At 39.3% G+C, this 25,222-nt stretch overlaps 1 protein-coding gene across 43 annotated transcripts in view, besides 1 other annotated feature; it reads right to left on the minus strand.

Annotated features, from left to right (window-relative positions):
• The window catches only part of OSBPL3 (oxysterol binding protein like 3), a 185,309-nt gene that overhangs the window by 40,992 nt on the left and 119,095 nt on the right, over window positions 1-25,222 (minus strand). For 29 of the 43 annotated variants that reach the window (NR_104112.1, NR_104111.1, XR_007060001.1 and 26 more), the window contains 5 exons: window positions 24,085-24,241; window positions 14,976-15,106; window positions 11,541-11,648; window positions 4,751-4,885; window positions 3,162-3,255 (listed from right to left, as the gene is read on the minus strand). Coding sequence is in view for 34 of the 43 variants with exons in the window: in XM_047420146.1 (XP_047276102.1) it covers window positions 3,162-3,255; window positions 4,751-4,885; window positions 11,541-11,648; window positions 14,976-15,106; window positions 24,085-24,241 (625 nt within the window). In the remaining 9 variants the exon portion in view is untranslated. Of the gene's footprint in view, window positions 1-3,161; window positions 3,256-4,750; window positions 4,886-11,540; window positions 11,649-14,975; window positions 15,107-24,084; window positions 24,242-25,222 lie in introns of those variants that run through there. The other 14 variants (XR_007060007.1, XR_007060005.1, XR_007060006.1 and 11 more) reach the window with 2 other exon arrangements.
• Window positions 5,572-5,641: an enhancer, noted in NCBI's record as "active region_25758". NCBI's record gives its function as "activates an Ori minimal core promoter by ATAC-STARR-seq in GM12878 lymphoblastoid cells {active_cell/tissue: GM12878}" and the evidence as "EXISTENCE:reporter gene assay evidence [ECO:0000049][PMID:35858748]".

Below are 25,222 nucleotides of genomic sequence, written 5' to 3' on the forward strand. Positions count from 1 at the left end.
TCATGTAGTCTCAAAAAATTTTCTTTGATTACACTAATCTGAATTTTGAAAGCATGCTACTCCACCGCCATCATCACCACCAATACTACTAACAGCTAACACATATCTTGCATTTTATTCTGTGACAGGCAGTCTTCTAAGCATTTCACATGCATTATTCCTACTTATCCTATGTAACTACCACTTGTGGTAAACAGTATTATTATCCCCATTTCACAGATGAAGAAAATGAGGCATAGAGGAAGTAAGTATCTGGTCCCAGAACACACAACCACTGAGTGGCAGAGCTGGGGCTAACCAAGGAAGTCTGGTCCCTTAATCTGTATTCTTAAACACTTAACTTCCCCAAAGTACCCAGCATAGAGACAGGTCCTAATATGTGCCCAGCAACACTGTGGGGAAGAAATTAATAGGAAACACTCTAAAAACCTCATGTTTACTATAAACTCAAAGAATAACAGTGTAGCAAGATCTTGGTCCTAACACAGGCAAAATGATGATATGAAATGTAAAGGTTATTTCTGTATCCAATCTTTTCAGTAGAGTATTGATGCTTAGAAATATAATCTCCCCCAACCCCTGGGAATGTCTGTAAAGAACTAGGGGACACACATTTCTAGTATTCAAACACTGACAAAGAAGAAAACTGGGTTTTGCCCAGTGTTTGTTCAAGAAAGGCAATGTAGACCAGGCAAGGTGGCTCATGCCTATAATCCCAGCAATTTCGGAGGCTGAGGCGGGCAGATTACTTGAGGCCAGGAGTTCAAGACCAGCCTGGCCAACATGGTGAAACCCTGTTTCTATTAAAATACAAAAAATTAGCTGGGCATGATGGTGCGTGCCTGTAATCCTAGCTACTCGGGAGGCTGAGGCATGAGAATTGCTTGAACCCAGGAGACAGAGGTTGCAGTAAACCGAGATCGCACCACTGCACTCCAGCCTGGGCGACAGAGTGAGACCCTGTCTTCATACACAAAAAAGGGCAATGTTAGTTAGCATTCTCGCAACATGAATGTAAACTACGACAGAACCAGCTCTAACCTCTAAGCTTTTCCTGGCTGGTGTCAACACAGCACAGCTGTGGACTTAGGTTCTGAACCATGTCCTCTCTTGACCTTTGACCTCTGAACATTCCATTAACTTTGTGCTTCCTATGGCTCCCTCTCCATAGACTCAAAGAAATGGAGGACTTCCACATTTGTCAATCCTCCTCATCTACAGTGGGAGCACCACTTTAGTGTGCATGCTGTTTGCCAAGGGAGTGATGTTTCTTCATTTCTCTTTCAACTTGCCTCCTTGTTTTTCTAGAAAAATAAGCAGCACACAAACTTGCTCCAGTGTTTTTGGCCTTCTTCTTCAAACCCACTGGTTCTTAGACCTTTCCACTAAGGGGTTCATCTCCCAAGAAACATTTCAAACAAAATACCAACCACGATGAGCATCTTACTTCTAGCAGGTGTGATACTGAAAGGATACTCTTCCAAAGCATGGTAAAATTACCTGCTTTCTTCCCCTATACTGCGGTCCCCCAAAAGGTGGCTCTTAACCATTCAGATAACAATTCATCCGTTCACACATACACACTGAGCTGAGGAACATTGAAATATCAAAAAGGTGCCTGGCATGGTCCCTCTCCTTTGTGAAGATATGAAAATAGGTGGTGCTTTGAGTATCCAATGCATAGTGCAGACAAACCTAGAGACTCCAAGGCAGACTGAGTACCAAGACTGATAAGTGCTTGATGCTACGAGGACCCATGCAGAGAACTGTTCAGGTGGGCAGATTCTTTTTAAGGGCACCTTCCTAAACAGGCCAGTCTGCTTACTGAAGTCCTAAATCAGAGCTGTTTGGGGGGCTAGCCAGACACTCCAGATATTCCACAGTTCGAACTAGCATTATGAAATATCTTTCCTGCCCATCATTTCCCATCTTGGGATCAACCAGTAATAAAGGGTCATCTTAGGATACCCTGATGGGTCCGTCCAAGAGATAGCCATTTGTTACTTTCAAATGTGTTGTTTTGAAGACTCTGAAGCTAAATGACCACCTGGATCATATCTTTTATTATGTAAGTCCTATCACATTCCTAAATTATAAAAACCCCCTGATATCTCAGGGCAAAAAGCCATATTCTAACATGTCCTGAGAGAGAACATTAGAGTGCAAAAGGGATATCTGGCCCAGGCACGGTGGCTCACGCCTGTAATCCCAGCACTCTGGGAGGCAGAGGCAGGTAGATCACTTGACGTCAGGAGTTCAAGACCAGCCTGGGTAATATGGTGAAACCTCGTCTCCACCGAAAAATACAAAACTTAGCTGGGCATGGTGGTGCGTGCCTGTATTCTCCAGTTACTCCAGAGGCTAAGGCAGGAGAATCGCTTTAACCCGGGAGGCAGAGGCTGCAGTGAGCTAAGACTGCACCATTGTACTCCAGCCTGGGGACAGAAAGAGACTCCATCTCACAAAAAAAAAAAAAAAAAAAAAAAAAAAAAAGATATGTGTTACATTTTTTATATTCCTATAATTGGCATACACTCACTTTATAAAAATAAAAATTTGCATAAGCAGACAAATTTATTTGAATTAACACATCTTTCACATGTGGGTGCTAGATTATAAAATCCTAGGGGGTGGGGTCCATGTCTTAGTTTTCTTACATACTACTTGCTAGAGCTCTTTGCTTGTAGCGGGTCCTCTACACAGCTCACCCTTGAACAACACAGGTTTGAACCGCATCAGTCCACTCGTATGCAGGTTTTCTTCTGCCTCTGCTACCCTTGAGATAGCAAGACCAACCCCTTCTCTTCTTCCTCCTCCTCAGCCTACTCAACATGAAGATGACCAGGATGATGACCTTTATGATGATCCCCTTAACGAATTGTAAATATGTTTTCTGTTCTAATGATTTTTTTAATAAAATTTTCTTTCCTCTAGCTTACTTTATTGTAAGATTACAGCCTCAAATACACATAACACACAAAATATGTGTTAATCGAATGTTAGTAGTTACATCTTTGGGGAGTCAAAAGTTATACATGGATTTTCATCTGCATGGGGTATCAGCACCTTGAACCCCCATATTGTTCAAGAGTCAACTATACAACTTATTAGTATTGTATGAAAATCCAAACTTTTCAGAGATTAAATAATGTAAATCTTACCCAAGGTCTGTCTCTCATTATCTAAATCATTACTGAGATTATCTAAGGAAAGATTATCACTTATGTCACTGACATATGAGTCATCATCAGAAATCTATGGGAAAGAAGAAATAACATTCATTAGAGTTAGAATAAACAAGAGCCAGATTTTCATAAAACCCTTACTCTAAATGATCAAACATGTTGAGTCTCACAGTACAAATACTCTTGGGTACTGTTTTCATAAAGGTCCATATACCAATCTGCCAAGGAGGTGTTCACAACAAACACCTGTTCTTAAAATTCTTACACATTCCGAATTAGTTCTCACAAGGAAAACAGCAAGCAAGCTCAAGACTGTTATTATAAAGATTCTTATTAATTCTGACTGCATTTTTAGAATTTATTAGTGTTTGAGTAGAAGAAGTTACAATTTGTCTTTGAGCTATTTGTGTAAAAAGTATCTTCTATGGGAATTAATACATAAACAAAATGACTAAGTCTGTATTTAAGGGGTAACATTATTAGTACACACTGTTAACTATAATAACTCTTATTCAGGAAAGGATAATTTTTATGCATCAATTTAAAACAAATAATGCTATAAACCAATATTACAATAACCATATTATCATAAAAATATAATTATATATTATAAATCAATATGTCAAATTCCATGATTAAAAAATATACGGGATGCTAATTTCCTTCTCTATAGTAGACACATTATTAAATAGGTAGAAGTCAAAACTATTAACCTGTACTTGAAAAGAAGTATAGCACTTTGAGAGGCTGAGGCGGATGGATCACTTGAGGCTAGGAGTTCGAGGTCAGCCTGGCCAACATGCGGAAGCCCATCTCTACTAAAAATACAAAAATTGGCTGGGCATGGGGCGCACGCCTGTATTCCCAGATACTTGGGAGGCTGAAGTACGAGAATTGCTTGAACCTGGGAGGCAGAGGTTGCAGTGAGCAGATATCACACCACTGCACTCCAGCCTGGCCAACAGAATGAGACTATGTCTCAAAAAAAAAAAAAAAAAAAAAAAAAAAGAGGCCAGGCACAGTGGCTCACGCCTGTAATCCCAGCACTTTGGGTGGCTGAGGCAGGCGGATCACCTGAAGTCAGGAGTACGAGTTTGAGACCAGCGTGGCCAACATGGTGAAACCCTGGTCTCTACTAAAAACACAAAAATTAGCCAGACACGGTGGCACGTGCCTGTAGTCCCAGCTACCTGGTAGGCTGAGGCTGGAGAATCACTTGAACCTGGGAGCCGGAGGTTGCAGTGAGCTGAGATTGCACCACTGCACTTCAGCCTGGACAACAGAGCGAGGCTCTGTTTAAAAAAAAAAAAAAGTATAACAAATTTAACATATCAAGTTACAGAAATGAGAAAATATCCAATGCTCTCTACTTTTACTTTTTCTTCTCACATATAGTATCATTTTATACTTTTTGGGTATGAGTTATGGGAGAACTCTCAGAACATAATGACTACAAAGGGCAACTGAGTTTAGTGTTTCTGATGATGGATTATTTACTGAACAGATTAATCAGCAAAGCAACAAGAGAGATTTTTGAGGCACCATACTGTAAACATTGCTCAAACCTCGTTTTCTGAAGAGCTTGGAGATAACAGAACTTCCTGAGCATCAAAAAACTCAGAAAGGGAGTCAGTGATGGAGAGTCTACTTTCATTAGAAAGCTGATGAACTAGAGCTCGGTTTTCATCTCTGGAGTTTTCCTATTTGAAGAACAAAACCAAAAATGTATACATTTAAAAACATTCTCAAGAGAAAGAAAATAAATGATTTAGTTGTACAATACACAAGGTCACAGGCCCATGCAAATAAGCAACTCAAAGCAGAAGTCAGCTCCAACACTGAGATGCGAGCCTCATGCAAAACACAAAAGTTCTCCCCCAATATGGGCACCTCACTTACAGGCACTATCACTTCTCACACACATGCAACAAATCACAAGGCAAAAAACAACTGTCCAGGTCACTCTTTGTTCCATTTAAAAGGGGAAAAATTCCAGTGCTCTCTGAATCATATCCTCTTATTCGCTACCACTGCTGGATGTTTCTTTTTATACTAAAATCTCCTCTGCATTGCACTGAATTCATGTCCTTGCATGGCTGGTTCAGAGCAACATAGCTTTCTTCTGCCCCTATGCTCTCTGAGGGAACAATATGCTGCTTTTGAGGTGTCCCTTGACAAATACACAGTGTGTTTTGGTCCAGAAGCACCCTGGTGGCAGATCATTTACTATTCATGGATGAATGATGTAAGTTCTCTTTGTCTGTCTCTTTCCACCTACAATGACTGCAAGGAAAGGAAGTCCCCAGTCCTCTTTATAAGCCTCTGTACAAATAACACAACAGAACATCATTGTTTTCTTATCTCGCATGACCCTCCATTCTCCACTCCACTGGGTCTGGACTTTCCCTCTGGGGAGGACTTAAGTCCTGAGCTGGCCATGGCAGGATATAACAATGAACCAGACAAGGTTTGTGGACTGAATGAATGGTGAGAGAACGCATCCAACGCACATCAGACCAGGCCTGTGGAATAGACAAAGTGCTGGCAAAGTGGAGAGACTGATTCTGATTAGGGAGATTTTGTTTGAGGAGGGCTTCATAGAAGTGGCACTTGAGGAAAAAGAACAGATTCAGGACAGGATGATTTGATTTCTTTCAATCAGAGTAGACAGGTAGTAGTAAAACCACTCGTATTTTTTATTGGGCTAACAAAGGAGTTGCTTCCACATCATCCAGAATAATTTGGGGAAAAGGCAGATTATATCTTGCCCAGAAATTGTCTGAATTCAGGATATACCCCTCAGTCTCATAGGGAGGGGATGCTATGACAGGAGGGCCACAGCAGATTTTCGTAATTAATAAAAGGCAAGTGGTCCCTTTACAAATTGCTTGCTTCAGTTTATTAATATGTATCTACAAACTGTTGAAATAGATATCCCTTTCCTAAATAAGGCATCTGCCCAAGGTATTAACAATCCTACCCATTTTAATACCCATGTAGCCTTCTGAAAACCAAGCCTCTTCTCTACCCTAACAAAGAGATCACTTTAGAATCTATAAGTATCACAGCTGTTAACTTCAAGGAAAAGGTCTCTCTCCTCAAAAGAGCCAGGCATAAAGCTATTGAGCTTGAAAACATCGTAAGGAATAGCTTCAACACTCACTCAAACAAGAGAATAGTCCTGTGTCTTCCGTGTGCTCCTGCCACAAAAGATGCTCATCATTTATTTACTTGTTCTACTCATTAATTTATTACTAGTCACTCCTGCCATCTCTGTATCTTCCTCCTCCTAGACTGATGGGTCCAAAGATTTCCTGGCTGACCAACACTGAAAATAATATTCCTAGCCCCTAGCCCTTTCTGGCATCTTCTTATATGTACTGTAAACTCACCAGCACTGCTGCACCCCAAGTCTACAGCATGGTGCCTTAAACAACTCAGGACCTCATTTGCTAAAATATTAACCCAGTCAGTTCAATTCAGTAATTTCCTTTCACATATGTAATGCATGACTGGTTGCTTATCTATTGTTTGCATTACAAAAAGTTAAATCAAGCGTGGCCAACCTACAGCCCGGGCGCCACATATGGCCCAGGATGGCTTTGAATGTGGCCCAACACAAATTTGTAAACTTTGTTAAAATATTATGAGATTTTTTTTGTGATTTTTTTTTTTTCTGGCTCATCAGCTATCATTAGTGTTAGTGTATCTTATGTGTAGCCCACAACAATTCTTCTTCTTCCAATGTGGCCTAGAGAAGCCAAAAGATTGGAAACCCCTAAATTAAATAAACAGAGAAAAGGGAGGGAAAGGAACATTCATAGCTCACACTATAACAACCACTACAAGCATTCTGACACATTTCTTGTGCAGTAATTGTAATCATGCTATTTTCATATCTCTATGTATGTAATTTTATAAAGTTCGCCCAAATAACATTGCAAGATAGTTTTTTTTCAAAATTAAACTGTATTCTGAAAATAAAAATAGGTATTCAAAATAGAAAATTTTAAAAAAGCAAATTAAATAAATATCACTTCAAGTCCCATTGAAGTCGATATGAATGTGGAAGTGGACGTGGCCCCTATTAACTTGCTGGTATTTTCATATTAAAATATCTGTGTACAAATTTTATTTTGAAAAACTGGGATAAACAGTCTACATATTGTCTGCTCCATTCACTAACCATTATATTGTTAATATTTTCCCAGACCATTCAAAATTCTTTGAGACAGTGAACTGTAATTGATAAATATTTTATTATATAGTGTCACAGAGTAATAATAAAATTAAGAATGTTTACAGATTTGCGAAAATGGTTTAGTATGTTTGTAAATATGTCTTTGCTTGTATCATGTTATTTCTCAGAATCAATTTTTCAAAGAATTATTAATAACCTTCAAGGCAAGGCAAAATATATATTACCTAATTACACCAACAAGTAAGGAAACCTCTGTTTTTTCTACATTAAGGGTACTGCATACCATAATTTAGAAAACTTTTGAGCTAATCTAATTGTTTTAATTTTCATTAGGCTGAATAGTTTTTCCTTTTTAAAAAACAAGCTTGTAGAGATGTTATTCTAGGGAGAGGCTGGATGAAGGCTGCATGGGACCTCCCTCTGCATTTCTTTGTACTTTCCTGTGAATTTACAAATATTGCAAAATAAGTAAAAAAAAAAAAAAAAAAAAAAAAAAAAAAGAAAACCCATACCTATCTGTATTTGTGTGTATGTGTGTGTGTGTGTATGTGTGTGTGTGTGAATTATGGCCTTTTTCCATTTACTTGTTAAAGTTTTAAGTTACTTGATATTATTTGTTTATTGGTTACATATGAAAAACATTATCATTGATTTAGCATTATCTCAGTCTGTCAATTTCACTGAAAATATTTTTCCCAGTCTATTATTTGCCTTATTGTTTTGACACACATCACTTTTTCCTAAAAAAAAAAAAAAAATAGATCTAATCAACATTCCTTTTGCAATTTTTTTCTATTGCAACCCAATTTAGAAAATCTTCCCTACTCTAGCAGTTTGATAAATATTTACATTAATATTTTTCAGTTTGAATTTTTATATTTAACTTGAATTTGCTTTTGATTCATTTAACATGCAATGAGAAGATTTAAACTTCTTTTTAAATTGCTTTCAGCAGGGCATGGTGGGTAGTGAGTGCCTATAATCCCAGCTACTTGGGAGGCCAAAGCAGGAGGATGGCTTGAGCCCAAGAGTTCAAGGTCAGGCTGGGCAGCATAGTAAGACTGTCTCCAAAATAATGGTAATTAATTATAATAATGTAATAAATTTCTTTGAGCTGTGCCAACCTAATTTATTGAATAATCCACCCCTTTCCCATTGGCTTTTGATGCCTTTTTGAACCATAATCTTTATTTCTTTTATATACAAAATAACATCTATGCTTGAGAGAGTTATTCTGTCCCATTCTTACCCATCATCCCTTATTTTAACTGCTGGAGCTTGAATGAGTGTTTTATTTTCTGGCTTGGCATACCGTTCTTCATTATATAGCAGTGTATACTATTGAGAAAAGGATTGCTTTGGCCTCGTTAGATGTGAATTTAAATCTCAGCTCTGTCTATTACAAGCTGTATGTCTGGAGGAAGTTATTTAACCTCTCTGAGCTTTAGTTCTCTTGTTTCTCAAATGAAACTATCACCACCTACTTCATAGAGTCATGGTTAGGATTTTGTGAGGTAATGTATTCAAATGCATGCCGATATAGCAAACAGACATTAAAAGAATTAAGTTCCCTTCTCTTTCAGACTTTTCTTTAAAAGTTTTGGCCTTTTTTAGTCTCTTAAATGGACATTGGATGTAGTATGGTGTTACCTCCCAAAGTCACTTGCCCTTTCATTTGGAATCTAAAATAATCAAAGAACTGATAACTTGATAATATTAAATCTTCACATTCAGGAATATAAAACAGGAGAACTTGGTAGGCTGTGGGGGTAATTTCTGATATTAAAAAAGGTGGGCATTTTAGAATTCAATTAGCCAGGCCCAACACCAAAGATGGGTAATACGTGTGGCTAAAGAAAAGGTAACGAGGCCGGGCGCAGTGGCTCATGCCTTTAATCCCAGCACTTTGGGAGGCCGAGGTGGGTGGATCACAAGGTCAGGAGATCGAGACCATCCTGGCTAACATGGTGAAACCCTGTCTCTACTAAAAATACAAAAATTAGCTGGGCATGGTGGCAGGCGCCTGTAGCCCCAGCTGCTGGGAAGGCTGAGGCAGAATGGCGTGAACCCGGGAGGCGGAGCTGGCAGTGAGCCGAAAAGGTGCCACTGCACTCCAGCCTGGGCGACAGAGCGAGACTCTGTCTCAAAAAAAAAAAAAAAAAAAGAAAGAAAGAAAAGGAAACGAAGTGAGCAAAGAAAGTGAGAGTTCTAAAAGGAGAGCACCTTGGGCTGACCCCATTGGTGGAGACTGTCATTTCCCAATAGAGTACCAGAGGTAACCGGGAGTTACCGAAAAAAAATTAACTGGAGTCAAGTTTTCAGTCTGGGAGGCCATTTTCACTTACTTTCCTACTTATGTCCTGAAGGCAACAATAACTTTACCTTTGCTGGGAAAGTAAGCCTGAGTCACTCCATGATAAAAGGGATAAAATAAGGGAAACAGAAAATTTCTGAAAGAGGAAATAGATAAGGTGACAACTGCATCACTGATTCAAGACTCAAGAAGGCTGTTTTGGAAGGTGTGCATTTGAAGGATGTTATTGTTACCTCTCAAGGACAGTGTATAGCATTTCAGCTTTCAGGTATGCTACTTTTAAGATCAGTTTAAAATATGCATTTTAAATATATAGTTTAAAAACATGTATTTTAAAAGACTTGTGATTTTGGTTTCCTTTCCAAAACACAAATAGTTCCAAGTAGACATGCCAAGCATAAATTCATAAAAGCATAAATGAACGTTATGTATTTAACTACCTGTTAAATCAGTAAATTGTGATAATACTATTTAAAAGGTAAATACTGTCTGAAAACATGCACAAACTCCAGATAATACCATAGTACATGGCAGCTGGTCAGTAATGGCTGATCCTGGCCATGACTGGGTCCTGTTTTTAGCCAATGTGCAGACTCAAAAGAGGGCCTGCCCAGGCCTAAGGTCAAGGCGCCGTAAGTAATGTTTAGGTGCTCAATGCTGCAGGTGACAGTTTAGGTCTGGGCTAACATAACTGAAAAGTGACCTCTTGTGGGTAGCGCTTCTATAAAAGAATGTCATACTTAACCACTAGCATGTGCCTCAGAAGTAGTAAGAGACCCACAAGCTTCTGCCAGACAGAGGGTGAGGCTCATGGGAGTGGATGGGCCTGTCCACACATGGCACCATCTTGTCTCCAAATGGGTTCGGTGCCCGGAGCCCTACAGTCCATGTACTGACTGACTTCAGCCTCAACTCGCCTCACCACCCCGCACAATGGCTTCCCAAGGAGTGAAGGTGTGTGAGGGGTTTGTTTTCTCTGAGGACAGAAAAAGAAGGACGAAACACTATGATTAAACATTACAAACTTCTTTTAAAAACTTACATAAACACACACCTCTTGTCTATTACCTGCCTTACATTTTTTATTTTAAGTGTACTCAGTCTAATTCATTTGTTAATAAAAATTTAGCATATCTGAAGCAGGCATTTAATATAAAAAATAGCTTAAAAACAGTTTTTACTTTCATTACTCTTTCCTACTTATTTTTTGAGTAACCTACTTGTACTTTTCTGAAATTTCTCATTTTAAACATGCAAAGACTATTTTGGATAAACATCCCTAGTCTTGAAGAAAGACTTTTTTTTAACATACTTTTAACTGACCAAGAGACACTTTAATTGTAATGAAGTATTTTTTTTCCCTCAGAGTGTACAGCCGCATTCTATAAAAGAAAAAGAAAATCACAGAAAAGGGAGAAGGGAACAGCCACAGAGAAAGGGTTAGAGGGGAAGGAGGCTGGCAGGGAACCAAGATACTGCAGGTCAGAGAAACGTAGGTTTCTTCAGTAGTAACAAGAGAAAATGTTTATCTCTCTATAGTTCCCACTCCAGTACCACTAGTGAAAGGGGTGACATTTAGGAGCGAAACAGAAATATAAAAAAAAAAGAGAGTTCTGGGGAAGGAAGCAGTTTAAAAATGCAATTAGCAGCATACGCTCAAGAAAGCGTTTGAGCCCGAGACCCCAGTCCATGACCTAGCTGTGGCCAGCACCCAGAGGAGGAGGGCAGAGAGGTGGACAGCACCCATGAGGGGAAGCAGGGAGGTCGTGCAATGGGACAGATGGTATCACGGGAGCGGGCGGCAGCTGGGGAGACATTACCAGACGAGAAACCTACCCACCTCTGCCAGATTGTCACCCGACTTGGCGACAGCGGGGGAGTCGAGGAGCAGAGACTCGGCATGGATTCTGCGTAAGCGTTCTTTAAGATCTGTGTTTTGTGCTAGGGCCTGGAACATGTTAAAATAGTGGGGCTCTGTTAATAAATGGATGTTTCAGAAAAGCACAGCAGTGGGCCCTGCAGGAGCGATCTCTAAGAGCTTGATGAAACTCTTAGTGACGTGGTCTGACAGCGCACTTTCTGGACTTTTTCCTTGAATGCTCTCCAAGAGGATACTGGTTCTGAGATGCCTGGGAGATGACAAACCTGGGCTCTGGAAATGATGCTCTTTTTCTTTTCTCATTCCAGACATGGAGGGAGGGTTGGTAAGTGCAACAGAGAGGGAAGTCACAGACACTGTCGGCTTCTGTTAAGACCAGTGGTTCCACAGCATCTCCTCCTCCTCCCCAACTGTCTGGAGTCTCTTTGGCCAAATCCCTTCCTAAGGAATCCAGGCTTCTATCTGCTTTGAAGAATATGCTGGCCCCATCCCTTATGATTGGACATATTTCAATGTTACTTAATTATCATACCCATTGAATCAGATTTTAGAAAGTGTGCTGGAGGCCGGGCAAGGTGGCTCACACCTGTAATTCCAGCACTTTGGGAGGTGGAGGCGGGCAGATTACTTGAGGTCAGGAGTTTGAGAACAGCCTGGCCAACATGGTGAAACCCCATCTCTACCAAAAAATGCAAAAATTAGTTGGGCATGGTGGCACACACCTGTAGTCCCAGCTACTTGGGAGGCTGAGGTGGGAGAATTGCTTGAACCTGGGAGGCTGACAGATGTTGCAGCGAGCTGAGATTGCGGCCTGGGTGAGAGTGAGACCCTGTCTCACGAAAAAAAAAAAAAGAAATAAAGAAAGTGTGCTGTGTGCTGGGAAGTAGGACTTTGTGAAAGATTAATTTTACTCTTTTCCAATATGGGTATTGATTGTTCTATTCATTCTTCAGGACTAAGGCAATCTATTTCAAAAAAGAAATGAGTAAGCCTCACTTACCTGCATAAGGGCTTAAGGACCATGGCTCTGGGAATGGGTAAATGTGAGATGAAAAGCAAATCTGAGACTATGCCCCCAGGCCTCCTTTATATTTCCCTGGGCAGGGATCATTCCTTATCTCAACCTCTCAACTAGGAGGAAAGTGGCTGAAAGGTAAAGGAAGCTGTTTCCTTCACGCTGATACTCCTGTGCACTTCATGACCAACTCTTCTCCAATGGTCTGTCTGTGGAAGGGGGACAAGTTCTCCTGACTGTCTTCCCAGACACTCACACGATCAGCTCCACGGGTGCTCGCATGCAGATTCAGCCTATATGTCTGTCTTTCTGACTCTTTTCTAAGAAGCTCTGAGCCTTTTGCATCCACCAGGGCCTGCAGGACCGACCTGCTGAAAGCATAGAAGGATGTGGTACTGCCTAATCCTCTACCTGGATCTCCAACAGGGATGCTGGCTTTGTTTTTCAGTCCCTGCAGAGCATATGGGTTATTTGAAAATCCTTGAGGACCACTTAAGAAAAACTGCACAAGAGCTAAGATCACACAGCCACATATAACAGTCTCTCTGGAGCACTAACTTTATTCTGGCCAATGACAGAGGTAGGGAGGCTAGAATCTTAGTACAGCCTGAAAATTGTGCTATTTTATTAGTTTTTCTTTCCTTTGTAAGCCACAGGCAGAAGAAGAAAACATGGCAACACTGTGCATACAGCACCGACATACCCATTCTGATAACTCTGATATGGTTCTAAAAATTTTATTTTCAAAAAACAAGTCTTAAACCCCAATTGTGAATCCAAGCCAAAAAGGAAAGAAAGGATCATTCGGTTTTATCTGAAGTTTCCAAAATCGTGAATATGGGTGAGAATGAATTCCTTAGTGAAGGTGAGAACAGCCTTGGCCTAGGATACCACAGCCAAATAGGTCTCAGTGGCCAAACAGGCAGATTGACAAGATGAGGCCAGGCCTCTGTGGGAGGAGGCAGGGAGAGGAAGATCATGGGGAGAGGGACCTTGGAAGCCCATCAGAGATACCTTTTGTAAATGCACTAAAAGCTAGCTTAATGAGAACAATAAGAAAGTTAGGGAAAAAAAACAAAAACACTTTGCTTCTGCTTCTCTCAAACCAAAATGGCACCAGTGTATGGCTGTCTTGTACAATAAAAAGGGGGCGATTCTATCTGTGACCTTAAGACAACGTTAAGACTCTTCTTTATATATGGAGCAAGCCAATGTTATTTTTAATTTCTTTTGAAGATAGCATACTTGTAATGGTCCATCAGTGAATACTCCTTACATATTCTACAACAACTATATGTGCTACTGGCAGAGGATTTATCACTAACATTATATTAAGAGCATCACTTTTCTTGGCAATACGATAAATAGAAAATATGAATCAACATTTTCTAGTTCTCTCAATGCCTGTGTTGGCTTCTGGTTACAAGATCCTAAAATTTATCTCCCCTACCTGACCTGAAATAGAAAATTCAGTATTGCTTCAGATGGCAATTTCATATGTGCACACACTCTTTCTCTTTCTAAAGTAGGAATTCCAAAGTACAAGAAAAGAGTAAAAGCAAATCAGTATGCTATTTCAAAAGTTCTCTAGCCTCCTGATAGATTCAGGGTAAAAAAAAAAAAACGAGATAACTTTATTCAAATAGAGGTAGGACATGGCACTTTAATGGAGCCTAACTATTCTGAGGAATTAATTGAAACTGATGAAAAAAGGAGAGAGAATGAGTGACAATGGCTGAGAATCATTTGGGACCCTGTCAGTGATTTTCCTGTTACTATGAAGGTATAGTGATTGCCTGACAGGCACTTTCATGTGACTCATCTCTTTGTAGCCACAGTAGGGGGGCAGGGCAGGGAAGCTAAATGTCTTGTACTATCCCATCAAACAAAATAGCTCTCATGTCTTTGAAAGAGTGGTAAACAGGATCAGTGCTTTGCAATAGGGAAGATAAGAGCATGAATTGGAAATTTCACTCTGCCACCTGTCATTTGGAAAGTAAGGCTAAGCTTGTGGTGTCTCATGCCCATAAAATTTCCTCCAAACTGTCAGATTTTGTAAGCATTAACAGAAAAATGTCTGTAAGACACGCACACATACACACAAAAACGTACAATAAAAATGTTAGAGAAACAAAAAAATTAAGATCAGTCAGAGGAAACCAAACTTAAAGAAGGTATCACTTAATAAAATACTAGCTATTAAGACTTGGATAGGTAAGTTTTGGTGTTTCAAATAAGCAGATTTGATGAAAGGTTAGAATATAATTTGGATAATTTGGTTTTCTCCTGAATTTTCAACATAATCATGGAAATAGAAATTACAAACCATTCATGAGCCTGGACACATCTCAGGCATTCCTGGAGGCAGACATGTAACTTACGGATGACAGGGCGTTCTTCAGACCAATGACCTGAGCAGACGGGGAGGAGGAGGCATCCTGCTCCATCAGCTGCTTCAGTTTCTCTCTCTCCGCTGACATGATATTAAAAGCTGACCTTAAAGTGAAGTAAACTATAGAGATAGAATCATTATAAAAAGGAATAAGGAGGCATAATTAAAAACAAAATACAGAAAAAAACATATCTCTTATAAAAGAAACAAGCAAAGTAACAGCCCTGAATATTTTGAGTATAGCAAATGTACATTCTACCTTGACTTTTAAAAAACACATTTGCCATGTAGAACACGCTAATGTAAACTAAGGCCTCTGGATGATGATGTGTCCACGTAGGTTCATTGACTGTAAGAGATGCAGTACTCTGGTGTGGGATGCTGATGGCGGGGGGACGGTGCCTACATGGGAGCAGGGGGCTTATAAAAGCTCTGCACTTTTGGTTCAATTTTGCTATGGACCTAAAACTGCTAGAAAAAATTAAGTCTATTAAAATTAACTCCCATTCACACACATCTGGCAATTCTAAGGCCCCTATCCACTGTAATGTCTCATGACTTTATGACTTATCATCAGGATTTTTTGACACTTGCACTTTGCTTCTAGATCCTCAGTGATCAGTGTTTTGTTTTGTTTTTGTATCCCCAAAGACTGGAAAGGGTTAAAAACAAAGCTTATTGGTTTTCCAGGGGAAAATGTTAACACTACAGCAGAAAAATTAGACAGCACCTTAATCAGGTGATCAAAATTAACTATTGGTGAGAGTCAGGTGGACCATGTGCCTCTAGGTAAAATAGGCTGAAAAAGACACAACATCTCCTTTGGTGTATGCCAGCCAGGGCTATGTAATCTGAATTTGATCATGAGCAAACATCAGACAACCCCAGAATGAGAAACATTTTATTTTTACAAGTTGGCCTATACTATTCAAAAGTGTCAATTTGACGAAAGAGAAAGAAAGGCTGAGGAACTGTTCCCAATTAAAGGAGGCAAAAGAGGAATGACAATGAAACTGACTCAAGGGGCAACATGGTACTAAAGGCATTATTGGGATAACTGACAGCATTTGAATATGGGAGGTAGAATAGATAAAAGTTGCTTCAATGCTGTATTTCCTGAATTTGATTACTATACTGTGGTTATATAACAGAGTATTCCTATTTTATATACTAAAGTATAAAGCCATAAAGAACAACACGAGGTATGAATTCTACTCTCAAATGGTTCCAAAAAGTGAAAGCGTGTGTGTGTAGAGAGTGATAAAATAAATGTGGCAAATATTTAAAACGAAGTATTTGGGTAAAGGGTATACAGAAGTTCTCTGTATAATTCTTGCAACTTTTCTGTAAGTTTGTAATTGTTTCAAAACAAAGTCTTACTGTCTACCTTCTTGCTTGTTAGCCCTTCCAGCTGCAGGACCCAGAATCCCCCAGCTCTAACCCTGGCATTCAGCTACTCTGTTCCCTAGTGAGCCCTCAGGTACAATGAGGGCTTAGCCACTATGGCCTCCAATGCCTGAACTGAAGTTTTAAAAAACATTAACACATACAGCACACACACACACACAAATCATTATTCATTAGGTTTTGATCACATCATGTACAAATTACTTCCTAGGGATGAGGAAGCTGTTATCTAAATTACTGATCGTGGCTATCACATTTGAATATTATCTTTCCAATCTCCTTTATAATATTTTGTTTTAGAAGAGCAGGAAGACTGAAGAGACTCAGACACATGTCTTCTCAAATGACCTAGCACATTACTGAATTCCACAGGGCTGCATTTTTAGAGGTATTGTTATTCAAGAGTGGGCTATTTAGTAACACAGAAACTAAATAGGCATTATTGACTTACTTCATTTAATAGCAAGGAGGACAACTAAACCTCTCTATATGTTGTTGCTGAACTTGTCTGAGGTTGTGGCATTTAGTGATGGACCTGAAACATCTTAACAAAGTCACAACAATTTGTACACACACACACGCACACACACACACACACACACACACACACACACACAAACACACACAATGGTGCTGCCTCTGCCAACAGAAGATGGGGGTCAAATGGAACTAAAATTTTCTAACGACGCCTATGAAACACACTTAGCTCCTTGCTTTAAACAATTTAATTGAGCAAAATAATGGGCAGGACAACAGAGTAATCAACAGCTGGGGCTCCACCATCAGCCCTGGATTCTTCCCCACTCCATCACCTATTAACTCCATGACCTTGGATGAGTAAATGATGTGCCTGAACCCTGGTTTCCACATTTGTAAATGGGGATAATAATAACTTTTACTTTAAATGGTTGTCATGAGGATTGAATGAGAGAGGGAATGCAGGTAAAGCACATAACACAATGCGTGGTATGTAATAAATAACAAATGTTACTGCAATATCATAGTGATACCGATGAAGGAGACACATGAGGATGAAAGTGATGGTGACTGCAGTCTCTTGAAATGTTGGCAGCAGCTCTAGATGATGCTTTACTCTTTTGCCAGGAAAATGCTTGTAAATAACTGCACACAGGGTAGAAATTCTAGGAATGAGGGGTTGGCCAGAATCTATGGAGCTGTAGGAGAACAGCCTTGGGAGGAGAGCAGCAAGCCACACAGTTACGGACTGCATCCTATGTCCTATTAGATAGGCACTATGCCCCTCCCCTGCCTGCCACACACACAGGATGCCCATGGCCATCTCAGTGGGTCCCCTGGGGAGCTACCTCTCACTGTCTTGTTTATTGCTCCAAATAAAATAAATGTGGCACTCAGCTAGCCGCCACTTTCCAAATCAATTCCTCTGGCTTCCAGGTGACCTACAGAAAAACAAGGCTTTCCACCAAATGAGAAGAGTCCTACATAAATTTTAAAAACTGGCAGAATATACAATATTTGGTTCAAAATGTACAGCTGACAAGATTGCAATAGGTGTAAGATAAGCAGAAAGAAACTCATATAGTCATTATATTTTATTGTAAGGAATAAAACGCTTCCTAAATCATCTGAAAAAAGGGTTTGGAAGACTAGATCCCTGTGTACTAAATTTCTTAAATGACTATCAGGGCCCACTCAGGACATTAAAATAGTCATTCACAGCCACCTAATGATCTGCCACACACAGGGCAATGATCAGAGGTTGCTCATGAGAGACCACATTTATATTAATTGTTTAAGACACAGGATCCCAAAAGTCAGGAACACTCTCTGTGATAGGAGTGCTTTCTTACTTATTTCTAACATGAATCTAAGCTTACTAGAGACAAATAAACAGCTTTAAAAAATAGAAGATTCAAATGAGTGCATCACATCTATGGTTACCTGACAATAAATAAAGCCACACAGAAAATCTTAGATGCTCAGAGATTACCAAAGCCACCCACCCCACAACACGACCAACTCTTCACATCTCCAGCTTCCCCGCCAAATGGTCTGCTGGCCCACGCTTGTCAGAGCACTTGCTATCTCCTAAAATGGTACATTCTGCTCTGGGACTTAGAAAGTCCTTCCTGCTGCTAAGACATTTGCCTCAGTGTCTCTTCACTGTCAAAGAGGAGGTATTTCCTCTTTCATTGAGTGTTCAAATATCGGAAGGCAACTGTGGCATCTGCGATGATTCATCTCTTTCCCAAACTGTCATTAGCCATTTCTCAGATACCCTTCCTGGACTATGAGAGGCAGGCACAGGTTGAGTTTTTGACTGTAAGAAGTCATAAGTTGCATCTACAGAATGGAACATCATAAGCGTCGTACAAGTGACTCTTGGTGGTCACTACCTTTCTGTTTCTAAGGCTTCCATGCTGTTCTTTTATTGAGTTAGTACAGTGAGACTATAATAGATGGAATGTTTGGATAGTGAGAGTCAATACTCTCACTATCAATGTATCTCAATTTATCTGAGCTCTACTTCTTAACATGCTCCTTCTTTAGCAGTTTCTCAGCATCAGGAAAGAATAAGATCTTGGAGAAAGTAGTTATGAATGCCATGGGTACCGCTCTAGAAAGCAATGTGGTACAGGAGAAAGAAATTCTCTAATAAGGCCAGCCTGAAGTTAAATTCTACCTCTAACACTTAGTTGCAGCTGCCATTTATATTTTGGACAATTATATTCAGGATTTGTCCAAAATACGTTTCTACATCTGTACATGTAGATGATGGGCACATCTGAGGAGCGCTTTAAGCAATGAGAAAACCTACTATCACAGAGCACCTAACAAACAGTGAGACTCATTTTTCCCCCTTTTTAATTGGAAACCAAATTTTAGGTGAATTTTCTTTGAAATGTTAACATTCCTAATATATCTGGGACACTCTGATCTTCTGTAATCTGCAGCAGTTTCAAACCTCACAGGATGCCCATGATTTTAAAATTCTTTTTAACCCATATTCCATCCAAATTGATTTAGATACATTAGGTAACTTTACTAAATGGTCCTACTTATGAATCTAATTGCTCAGCACATTTATGCTGAATTCTAATTTATGAACAATAAATGACTTGGCTTTTTGTTCAGTCATATATCTCTTTTAGCTTTTTAATCTATGAAAGAGGTATCATTGTAACACACTTGGCTTTTTATTCAATGCTTCCATAAGCTGAAAATGGTTCAGAAAATGACCACTCAATACTTACTACTCAACATAGGGAAAGAATCCAGAAAGAAAAGAATAGGTAAATACAGTTTTGACTTTGTTCTATGTAGCTTTCACATTTGTGAATGAGGATTTCCTTCACTTGTAGGAAAAGTGTCCCTAAAACATCATTTGCTTCCCTTCCAAGTCAAAGAACACAGATATCCGCTTCCATTCAGAACACCTGACCCTAGCCCTGTCTTGTTCCTTGCTTTGCCATCCTAAATCTCCTCACCAAGTTTGGTCATTTCTGTTTCTGCTAACAGAACACTCTCTCAGAAAGCCTTCTTGTAACAATAAGCAATAGTAGGGACTCTTTCTATTCAGTGTAAAATAATCAAAGAAAATAACTACAGATTTTGAGAACCAAAAGAGTCAGGACAACTACTATACGACATTTAACAGGCTATCAAGGGCCAGAGAGGTTAATAAATGAAGTCAAATTTCCACAGCTAGTCAGTAACAGAGGTGGCCTACTTAGCCAGTACAGAGGGAGCTCCAAAAAGGCTTATTATTTACAATGTTTTTTAAAGTATGTTTCTCAGAAACTTAAATTCCAGGATGTTAATAGCTGTTGGGAATAGGGGGGAAGATTCCCAAATAATATTGAAAGTCACTGAGTTAAACAAAGCCAACAGATTTTTGTGTTGTTTTTTGCTGCAGGACTTCTCAGGGCCTTTACTATTTACTGTTCTTATGTAAATCCAAAGGAGACCATAGTCAGCAGTGTTTTCCAAACATTTTTAATCATGAAGTTTTTGTTTCATTTTTAGAAGTACTTTATGGGTAAAGTGTTCCATAAAACATATTTTGGGAAATGTAAAAGCTAATATATGCAACAAAAATTACTTAAGACTTTTAGGTTTCAATATATTTCATTCTCTGCTTATATGTGTGTGAACATCCACACAAAGCCAGAAACATAAGCCAACAACTGGTTCAACAATATGCCATAAAAATCAAACTCACAGTCTATAATATAGAATAAGGACTTTTAAAACTAGCATGGGTGTATTTTGGTTCCCTACCATTTGATCTACAAAACCAGGAGAATTCAGATGCATTTAACAAGGTGAAGGTCGCAGAGACTATGTTACATCACTGGAATTCTTGCCTTTAGTTCAGCTGCTTTGGAATTGTAGTCAACAGAATAGTGATGCAGTCGAGAAAGTACAATAGATACTGTCAGTAACAAAACGAGGTTTACACAGGAAGAAAGGTCAAGATGCTTCGAGTTTGAATGTATGGAAGTGAGAAGGCATGCAAGGTCACAGGACTTAGTACAAACCTGAGAGCTGTCTTTATTCTCTGAGGCCCCCAAATTACAATCTGTGCAAGAGACTCCCTGAACCAGGAAAAGGAAGATCTTTCCCTCTCTGCAAGTGTACTGTAAAACCACAGGAATGAAACACCTTGTTAGGCTCCCTGTGGAATTTGTTGTCTGTAAGCCCACAGGGCTCAGGCAACTGTTGAATAAGTGCATTGGACCTTTCTCCAGGACAAACCTTGGCCCAGTCTAGGTATGTGGCAGCTCTGCAGCCAGCAGGTTTTCACAAAGTGGGAAAGACAGAACTGCTGGATGGGGCCCATTACAGACTTTCAACAAGGTGGAGACCTCTGCAGGAGGACTGGATCAATGGATCCACTCAGTATGGCAACCTTTGTCCTGCTGAGGAGGCAGCTTCTTCAATGGAGGTGAAACTCAGGACATTTCCTCTGTGTAGGGAGGCATTATCTTCTCATTGTTTAAAAGTTTGTATTATTAAAAAGTAACAATGTTTTATAGGAATTTCCTCCCACAAAACTTAAGATGCCCTAATTGCAACTGATTATTTTAATTCTTCAAATTCTTTGAAGATCCTTTAAGGGTGGGCCAGGTAACTCTTGCCATTTCACGGATGAACTGCACAACAAAACACTCATAACAGTCTAATGGTAATTAGGACAAGCATTCCAGGTAGCAATCTGTATAAAGGATGAAATGGTTTCCTTATAACCCACCTCATATCCAACATGTTTTAAATTTAGAGGGTAAGGGAAGAGAGAGCTGAAGGAATCAGTAATGTACGAAACAAAAATACGAAGTAGGAAAGGAAGGCAATAGAGGGAATATCTTCTCTCTTCCCATATTACACACTGCCCTCCCACTGAAAAATTTTAAATCCATTTTCTCTTTAAGAAATAATATATGAAAATTGAAAAAAAAGTTAAGCAGAAAGATAAATAAGCACTTAGAACTCCAGCCTCCATCACTTAAATGTTTGTATATATCCTTCCAGACTTTTTAGTATACCTATATATGCCCGAAATAGGATCATACCTATATATTGTTTTGTAACCTTACATTTTTACTTTACATTTTATGCTGAGGACATCTTTCTACAACTATAAAAAATAACGCTGGCCACTCCATCTGTAAGAGCAGAGAAATACCAGGTAAGGATTATGGACTCTGGGGTCAAACAGGTGAGAATTCAAGTCTCATGCTGGCTGCTTTGTAACCATGTGACCCTCAGGAAGCTGTTATTTTATCTAAGTCTCAAGTTTCTTATTTATGCAATAGAGATCATAATGATACCTACTTCGCAGGCTGCAGCTAGAATTAAAATAATGCACGTAAAGTAATTAGCAAATACCTGACGTGACAGTTATGTGCTCGATGTTAAGTAGCTCTCATTATTATTATTAGTGAGTATTCTATTATATTACGTTTTTGAAAAAATTCAATCCCCTATTGTTTGGCATTTAGATTATTTCTATTTTTTTAACCTTTTATTTTGAAATCATTATTGACTTACAGGTAATTGCAAAATAGTAAAGTCCCACATACCCTATACCCAGTTTCTCCCAGTAGTTACATCTTACACATCTATGGTACAATATAAAAACGTGGGAGTTGACATTAGTATAATCTACAGATTTTATTCAGATTTCACCAGATTTACATTCACTGATCTGTTTGTATGTGTGTGGGTATAAGTAAATGCAATTTTATCACATGTCCACATTCCTGTAACCAGCACCACAATCAGGATACAGAATTTTTCATCACTACAAGATCCCTTGTGCTACCCCTTTATAATCACACTCCCCTTTACTTCCTCCATCTCCATAATTATATCATTTCAAAACATTTATGTAAGTGGAACCCTACAGATATGGTTTGGCTGTGTCCCCACCCAAATCTTATCTTGAATTATAGCTCCCATAATTCCCATGTGTTATGGGAGGGACTCAGTGAAGGATAATTGAATCACGGGGGTGGCTTCCCAAATACTGTTCTTGTGGTAGTAAATAAGTCTCATGAGATCTGATGGTTTTATAAGGGGTTTCCCTTTTCACTTAGCTTTAATTCTCTCTTGCCTGCCACCATGTAAGACATGCTTTTCGTCATCTGCCATGATTGTGAGGCCTCCCCAGCCACATGGAACTGTGAGTCCATTAAACCTCTTTTTCTTTATAAATTACCCAGTTTCGGGTATGTCTTTATCAGCAGCATGAAAATGGAGTAATACACCTATACTATGTAATGTTTTGAGATTGGTTATTTTCTGTCAGCATAACGTCCCTGAGATCCATCCAAGTTGCTATGTATATCAATAGTTTGTTCCTTGGTATTGCTGAGGAGTATTCCATTGTATGGATGTACCACAGTTTGTTTAACCATTCATCTGTTGAAAACCACTTGAGTTTGTTTCCAGTCTTTGGCCAATACAAATAAACTTGCTTTGAACATGGGTATAGATTTGTGTGTGGACATAAATTTTCATTTATCTGGAACAAATGCTCAGAAATGAGTGTTGGGTTGCATGGTAAATGCATGTTTAATTTTATACAACACTGCCAAACTGTTTTCCAGAGTGGCTACACCATTTTACATAGCTACAAGCAATGTATGACAGATTAAATTTATATGCATTTTCACCAGCATTTGATACTATATTTCCTTTTAACTTTGGCTCTTCTAATAGGTGTGTAGTGATATCTCATCATGGCTTTAATCTGCATTTTCCTAATGGCTAATGATGTTGAATACCTATTTCTAATTTTTGATGTGACAATGCAAAATGGATACTTTGTTTGGATAAATTCTAAGTTAATTCCTACAATGAATTCTTCAAAGTGGAATTGCTAGATAGGCAGATTTTAAAAATAGTGAGAAAATAATATCATATTGCCCTCCAGAAAATTACCAATTTACACTCCCACCAACATCACATGAATTGCTCAGCTTTTAAAGTACTAACTCTCTCTCATTGTCTCCCCCACAAGGTTAAAAAGAAAGTTCTTGCCAATACATTCTCCACTACTAGGGAAATAAAATAAAGATTAGGTTTCCCTAAATCTTAATAGAGCAGAAAATGAACCAACTAAGATACTCTCTCTAAGGACATCTCACATTCAGACATGCACTTAACATTTTCATCAAACACATTAGGAAGAAAGAAAACTCATTTACCTTTATGGGCAATATGACACAGATCTTCTTGCATTTTAGAAAACTCTGATGAGGTTTCAGAGCCATCAGAATAATTTTTCTCTTCTCCAAAATCTAGTGTTGACAAATTAGGATTGGAGGAGTGTAGTCTTACTGGGCCAGAAAAAGGTTTCGGGACCTGAAGTAACACCAAAGGGAGATATTTCTTTTCAGATGCAGATTGCTTAGAATATTTACTTGATTCTAAGATTGAAACATGGTAATACAAATACAAAACATTTTATAGGTAGGTCTTTTTTTTTTTTTTTTGGGGGGGATGGAGTCTCGCTCTGCCACCCAGGCTGGAGTGCAGTGGCACAATCTCCGCTCACTGCAAGCTCCACCTCCCGAGTTCACAGCATTCTCCTGCCTCAGCCTCCCAAGTAGCTGGGACTACAGGCGCCCGCCACCACGCCCGGCTAATTTTTTGTATTTTTAGTAGAGACGGGGTTTCACCGTGTTAGCCAGGATGGTCTCGATCTCCTGACCTTGTGTTCTGCCCGCCTCAGCCTTCCAAAGTGCTGGGATTACAGGCGTGAGCCACCGCGCCCAGCCTAGGTAGGTCTTTCTACTGAGTGATAACTTATTTTAAAAAATGAGAACTCAAGACAACACTTTCCACAGAAACTTGCTTCTTGTGAGCTAAAAATGGGTGAGAAATCACATATTCTTTTGGAAATGATAGAAGCATTAAAGCTATAGGTTGAAAATGACAGCTAAAGCTGCCAGGCTTTCTCATTTATACTCAATTCCTTCCTCCTGGCAATAATCATCCATGTATCCAGGCGGTTAGTAATGGATAGGTTTAAAATGCTTTTCTTTGCACCTAGGGCTTCTACAAAACAAATGACCTTCATTTGTACATGGAACATTCTTTACTTCCAAAGTGCTTATCTTCAGTCCATAAACTACTTTGAACCAAAGAGTGTACACAAGTGTATCAGGTGACCTAACCAAAAGCTTGAGATTTATGTTGATTCTAAAACTGTTGCAATTAATATGCAACAGTTAAGCTGCAAATCTTGGCCTGTGGCTTAGCTGTGCATTGGGAAAGCTCCTAGCATGACACAGTGAATCCTGGATGAGGGATTGGGAGTTTGGAGATAAGAGGCCAAGGAGA

Source organism: Homo sapiens, chromosome 7 (assembly GCF_000001405.40).
Source record: "Homo sapiens chromosome 7, GRCh38.p14 Primary Assembly".
NCBI lineage: Eukaryota > Metazoa > Chordata > Mammalia > Primates > Hominidae > Homo > Homo sapiens.